At 43.9% G+C, this 5,850-nt stretch overlaps 1 annotated feature.

Annotated features, from left to right (window-relative positions):
* Positions 1,079–1,617: an enhancer, noted in NCBI's record as "NANOG hESC enhancer chr10:30976431-30976969 (GRCh37/hg19 assembly coordinates)". NCBI's record gives its function as "activates a minimal SCP1, AML or CMV promoter by ChIP-STARR-seq in primed H9 embryonic stem cells {active_cell/tissue: H9 hESC(primed)}" and the evidence as "EXISTENCE:reporter gene assay evidence [ECO:0000049][PMID:30033119]".

Below are 5,850 nucleotides of genomic sequence, written 5' to 3' on the forward strand. Positions count from 1 at the left end.
GTCCTGCAGGAAATCGTTAAAATTTGGGGTCCCTTTGTCACCTATATGCACATACCATCATTTTCTAAGCTATTATTTAAAAGCAGATTTCCCAACTTAGTGGTAAACATTTTCACATTCACTTTGTCTTAACATCTTGTCATCAACTTTATAGGCTTAGCTTTCCTTTTTCTCAGAACCTTTAGGGGTCCATGCTTTCATGAATAGTACCTAATTCATTATAGGTACATAATAAATGTTTGCAGAAGGAAAGGAGGGGAAATCCCTGAATTGTAAATAACTCAAATCTTAGTGGGGAATCCCTTCCAATACATCTCTTCAGCCTCATCTTGGAATTGTGAAAAGATGAGAGAAGATAATTTACTCTTACAGTAAATTATTTGCCAATTTTCTGCATCAGATCACAGAACTGGACACTCATGTTTAAACTCCTTTAACGTGAGCCCCAACCCTTCTTTAACAGAAGCACGTCGTTAGGTGCAGGGTGACTAAGTAGAACTGGAACTGAGAACCTGAACCAGACCTCAGGTTTTCCAACTTCTAGCCCAGACTTTCATCTTGATGACTTTCTGCTTTGGTTTCTTTTTTCCTCTTCCATCTTAAAAATCTGAATTTATTTGTAAGTGGGTTCTTACTACCAAATGCCACTGCCCTTGTCCACATTGACATCAGAGGATATAGATTTGCTCTTATTCAGGTTTGTGGAAGCAACAGTTCCCATTTCTCGGTGGATGAGTTCGCTTTCATATTTTCCTGAATATATCAGAGATCTTTATTTAACAGGTGTTATATGGCTCACTGAGGAAATTATCTTCTTATACTTTATAATTAATGAAAAAACTGTCTCTTCTGTTTCTAATATTTGCCATCACCTCCTGGGTTATATGTTTCACTTGAGTCATTAGCACTTTTTGATTTGCAGTGATATGGTAACCGATTAACATTCACTGCAGAATAAAATAACCCCCTGCACAACAGCCTGGGGTCCTATCTCCCAGAAACATCAGGCCACCAGGAGTGACCACCTCTCAGCGCGTTGCCAGGAGGCATCTGGGACCTGACCTTCATTCTCTTACCCCAGAAACCTCTCTTCTCCCGCTAGCCACGTTAGGACTTTCTCCCTTTTTTATATTCCTTGATTCTGTGTAACGGTTAGCACTCCACAAGGTTCTCGTGGTATTCTAGGATTCTCCTGGAAGCCAAGTACTCCAACCACACCTGGAGTAAGAGAGACGTGAAAATGTTCCCGAAGACAGTAGGTGACTGGTTGCTGTACCTAGAATTCATTGAAAAGAGCTATGGTGGGATCTTTGTTTTGTCTTAACATTTTGTAATCTGCATCTCCATGCCCTGAGCCATTCATTGCCTAAAGATCCTTATCTCTAGCTGGGAGAAGAGCTCTTTTGGATAGTGCCACTGCCTGAACCGCCAGCAGGGGGAGCCATGGCAGCGGATTTGCCCGGCACCGGCCAAGATAGGGATGGATTTCTCCGGTTGCTTTGGAAACCAGCCTTCAGAGCCAGTCCTGTTTATTAGCTGCGGAGTTAACGGCCTCTTTGCTAATGAACTCCTCTGATGTCTCTTAAGCATCCTTCTAGTGAATGATGATTTCCCTCCCCACCCTGTGATACCAGATTTTATTTATCTTTAAATCTTTCAAGAAAGTTTAATTTCTCATGGATATAAACCCTTTGCAGTTCTGGCAATTGAAACAACTTTTAAAACTTTTAATGACATCATCAATCAAACATATATAAAATGAGAAGTACTTCTAGGATATTACCTAAAACTTGAGTTTTAAACCATTTAATTGTATTTTTATTAAATTTTTTATGCTATAATACTTCTCCCGTTCACAGGAGGAAGGGGCAGAATCATTCATTCATTTGGTTTTCCTTGTGATAGTGATTTGCATATCCTGTCGATGTTGTTCGTCCAGGGTTGCATTGTCATCTAAGTGGCAATGTCATCTAAGGATTTCACATTTATTACAAATGAGTACAGAGAACATTCACATCTCATTTTGGTTTTTTGTAAATGCACTAATTAGTTTTCTTTCCAATGCCTTCCACTTAGGTTAGGGAAGCAATACTCATCCTTCTCTTTACTAAGTTTTCTTCTTCTAGCTGGATACTTTCTCCATGCAGGAATTCCTCCCTTTCCCTTTCATGTGTCTCTCACCACTTTCCCTTTTAAAGATTCCCCACCCTGCTTCTCGGTAAATATACGAGGAAAAGCATTTCCTGTTTCTGCCCACACGGGAGATGGACTGGACCTTCCAAAACTTGTAGTCGGTACAGACCTGCCCTGCTCTGTGGTTTCTTCTGAAAGGTTGACCCTCCTTGGGTTACTGTCTGTGTCATGTCCCCAAGGCCACTGTCCCTCCCTCCCCTCAGCCTGGAGGAGAGCTCCAGTGTGGGGGGCCACTTGCTGGCAAGTGTGACACAGTTCATTCTGCAGATGGCACCAATGCACTCTCAGCTGCCCCCACCATCTCCAAAGGGCCTCAGAACTCACAGCTGCATTTGCTCAAGTCTACGTGTCATGGACATGTTTTCCCACATCTCCACCGTTCATTTTGGATTATCAGCTCGTCAGCCACTACAGTCCTTGGAAATAATAAAATCCTGTCTACATCTGCAGTTGGTTGTCCCACAGTCGTGGTACGTGTGAAATGTGTGTGTGTGTGCCTGCATGTGTGTAAATTCTTATATGTTGTGCCGTCTACCCTGGGACTCCTGGAGATCGGTCAGGGTCCCGGAGATTTCCAGAAGTGACCCTGAGATGCTCAGTAGCTCGTCTGTGTGTTCCACAGGTTTGGCGTCACCTACTGCCATAACCCCAGTAGCCTCAGCCATTTGCGGTAAAACAAGAGGCACCACACCCGTTTCCAAACCCCTGGAAGGTAAGTCGCCAAGGCCTCGGCCACGCCAAGCCTGATCAGAAGAGGCCTTAGTGATGCTGTCTCACTGACGGTTTCTGCTTGCCTAGATATCGAAGCCAGACCAGATACGCAGTTAGAATGGGACCTGAAGCTGGACAGGCTGGAAACCTTTCTAAGAAGACTGAATAACAAAAACATACCTACCGGAAGCCAGAAGGCTTTGCTCTCAGAATCTCTAAATCCTAATTCTGATTGCTTTTCTTCCTCAGCTAAATTGTTTTCTTTCTATTATGGCTTTCCTAATTCATACTGTAATCACCGCCTTTGTTGTTATCTTCAAAAAATGAAGTTTTGGTCAAGACCGATTAGACTATCAAGCCCTAATTCATTTGATAACATACTAAATTGGGGACTCCCAATATCACATTTGTTCTTGAATCTAAGCCCTTGGGATGCCATCCAATTGGAATTGTGAACTAAGTGATTTTGCTTATAACTCTGAAAGCAGATTATTATACATCAGCAAATCAACATGATCTTGGGCCTGGTGAACTTTAAATTGTATGTTATCAGTTTCCAATAAGGTAAAAGCTGACATTATTTCTTATAATCACAAACGATTTCTAAAGTAAAATTATGGCAAATGAATGTTGAACTAAATATTTCAATATACAAGTCAAAGAAATATGCAAAATAAAAGAGCAATATGCAGAAATTGCCTTTTATCTCTTGATTAAAATGTCCAATCCGGGAAACTTATCAAATACTAGGCACTGGGAGCCCCTACTATTGACAGTGACCACTAAAAGGTTAAAAATAATACAACCACCACTGAACAGAAATATAAAAGTATAATATAATCACTAAACTAGCTAAGCAGGGAATGCCAATCAGCAAAGCATTTATTACAAATGTGGAACAGTGATCTAGCCTGTGGGTTAGCAAGCGATGGCCACTGCCAAATCCAGCTGCCCACCTGCTTTGGTTTTTTGTTGTTGTTTGTTTTTTAGAGACAGTGTCTTGCTCTGTCACCCAGGCTAGACTGCAGTGGTGCCATCATAGCTCACTGCAGCCTTGAACTCCTGGGCTCAAGCAATCCTCCCACCTCAGCCTCCTGAGTAGCTCCAACTATGGGTGTTCACCCCTAAGCCTGGCTAATTTTTTTTCTTTTTCTGTTTTTGGAGAGATGGGGTCCCACTATGTTGCTTAGGCTGGTCTTGAATTCCTGGGCTCAAGCGATCCTCCAGCCTCAGCCTCCCAAAGTGGTGAGATTATAAGCGTGAGCCACCATGCCCAGCTCTGTTTTTGTAAATAAAGTTTTACTGAAACACATCCATGCCTATTTGTGAACTATTGTCAATAGCTTTTGCATTACAACAGCAGAACGGAGTTGTTGTAACACGGGCCCCATGTCACCCCTCCCCATGCAAAGCCTAAAATGTTTACTGGCTGGCCCTTTTCCGAAGAAGTTTGCCAGCCCTTCATGTAGAATGAGGCTGAGGCTGGTTCATCTACCCTCAACAGAAGCAAGTGCAGGTTCAGAAGCGTTCAGTGGGCTCCTGTGTGCAGTAAGGTCAGCCTCCCTCTCTCCCGTTTTACTGCAGATTTGTTCAGGTGGGAAGCAACCGCAGGACCTTGTATATCACAACCGTATTTCTTCCACTCCTGGAACTTAGGAGGAAATAGAATTTTTAAACTATTGGTGAAGCATAATTGGAGTCCTTGTTTTTATAAAACTCTTACGTCATTTGCTTGTTTGTTGATAGTTGGCGGGATGCACGAAACGGTGCTCACTGTCACCGGCAAATCTGTGAAGGAGCTGATGAAGCCGGATGATGACGAAACCTTTGCCCAATTTTACCGCAACGTGGATTGTAATATGCTGAGAAGTCCTGTGGAGCTGGACGAGGACTTCGATGTCATTTTCGATCCTTATGCACCCAAGTGAGTTATTTGGGTCTCCGTCTTTCCTCCACTGAGAAGGGCTTCCTTCGCCTGCAGAGGGCACATCCATGAGGCTCTTCCCCCAGTGTGGCCTCCTTCTCTTTCTAACTCCATCACAGCCGCGTTAGTATTCTAGAGCCAGGGCACCGTGTTGCAGGAGCCAGGGGCACGGAGCCTCGCAGCAGATAAAACATGCAGACGGCAGACCAGATGTGCATGCAGGCAGACCGCGTGGGCCACAGATGCTTGTCCTGTGCCATAAAGAGTCAATGAATTTTTCACATAATTTGAATACCGTTTTGCAGTTTTTATGTTTATATCACTTAGCAGAGAGTTCAACACCTGTCTTTCATTTGACATATTTCTTACTCATAACTTTGCAAAATATTTGGATGAGATGGGCTCAAATTAGTACAGCTCACTAGAAAATCAGTAAGGCATGTTACTTAGCTTCCAATCATTTACAAAATCAATAGATCTGCGGGTTTTCTCAGTGATGACTAAGGGTTTCTCTTCCCACGGGATCATGACTAAACCAACTAGGAAAAGCGATAATGGTATTAGGATCCCGTCAATTTCAAGTGCCAGAAAACCATCCCAGTTCAAACCGACTTCAGCCAAAAAGAAAAATGAGAGGGGTTTACTGGCTCACTTGCCGAACAGTGCGGGGGCAGGTTTCCGGGCTCATTCGCTGGAAAGTGCTGGGGGGCAGGTTTCCGGCTCATTCGCTGAAAAGTGAGGCGGGGTTTACTAGCTCACTCGCTGAAAAGTACGGAAGTGGCCTCGGGTTCTAAAAGCCCCTCAGAACACAGTCTGTCTTGGCTGTTTTCCTTGGCCTCACTCTCCGTTAGGCAGTGGCCTGGCGGCAGATGGACACCCCACCTCTGGAGTCACAAGGCTGCCTCCCTGGCCAGCCCAGCACGGGTAGCTTCTCTTCCCAGTAGTCCCAGCAGAAGTTCCAGGTTTGATTTTCTTGGCTTCAAATTGAGCCCGTGTCCATCCCCAAACCAGTCACTGTGGCC

The sequence above is a fragment of the Homo sapiens genome, chromosome 10 (genome assembly GCF_000001405.40).
Source record: "Homo sapiens chromosome 10, GRCh38.p14 Primary Assembly".
Classification (NCBI taxonomy): domain Eukaryota; kingdom Metazoa; phylum Chordata; class Mammalia; order Primates; family Hominidae; genus Homo; species Homo sapiens.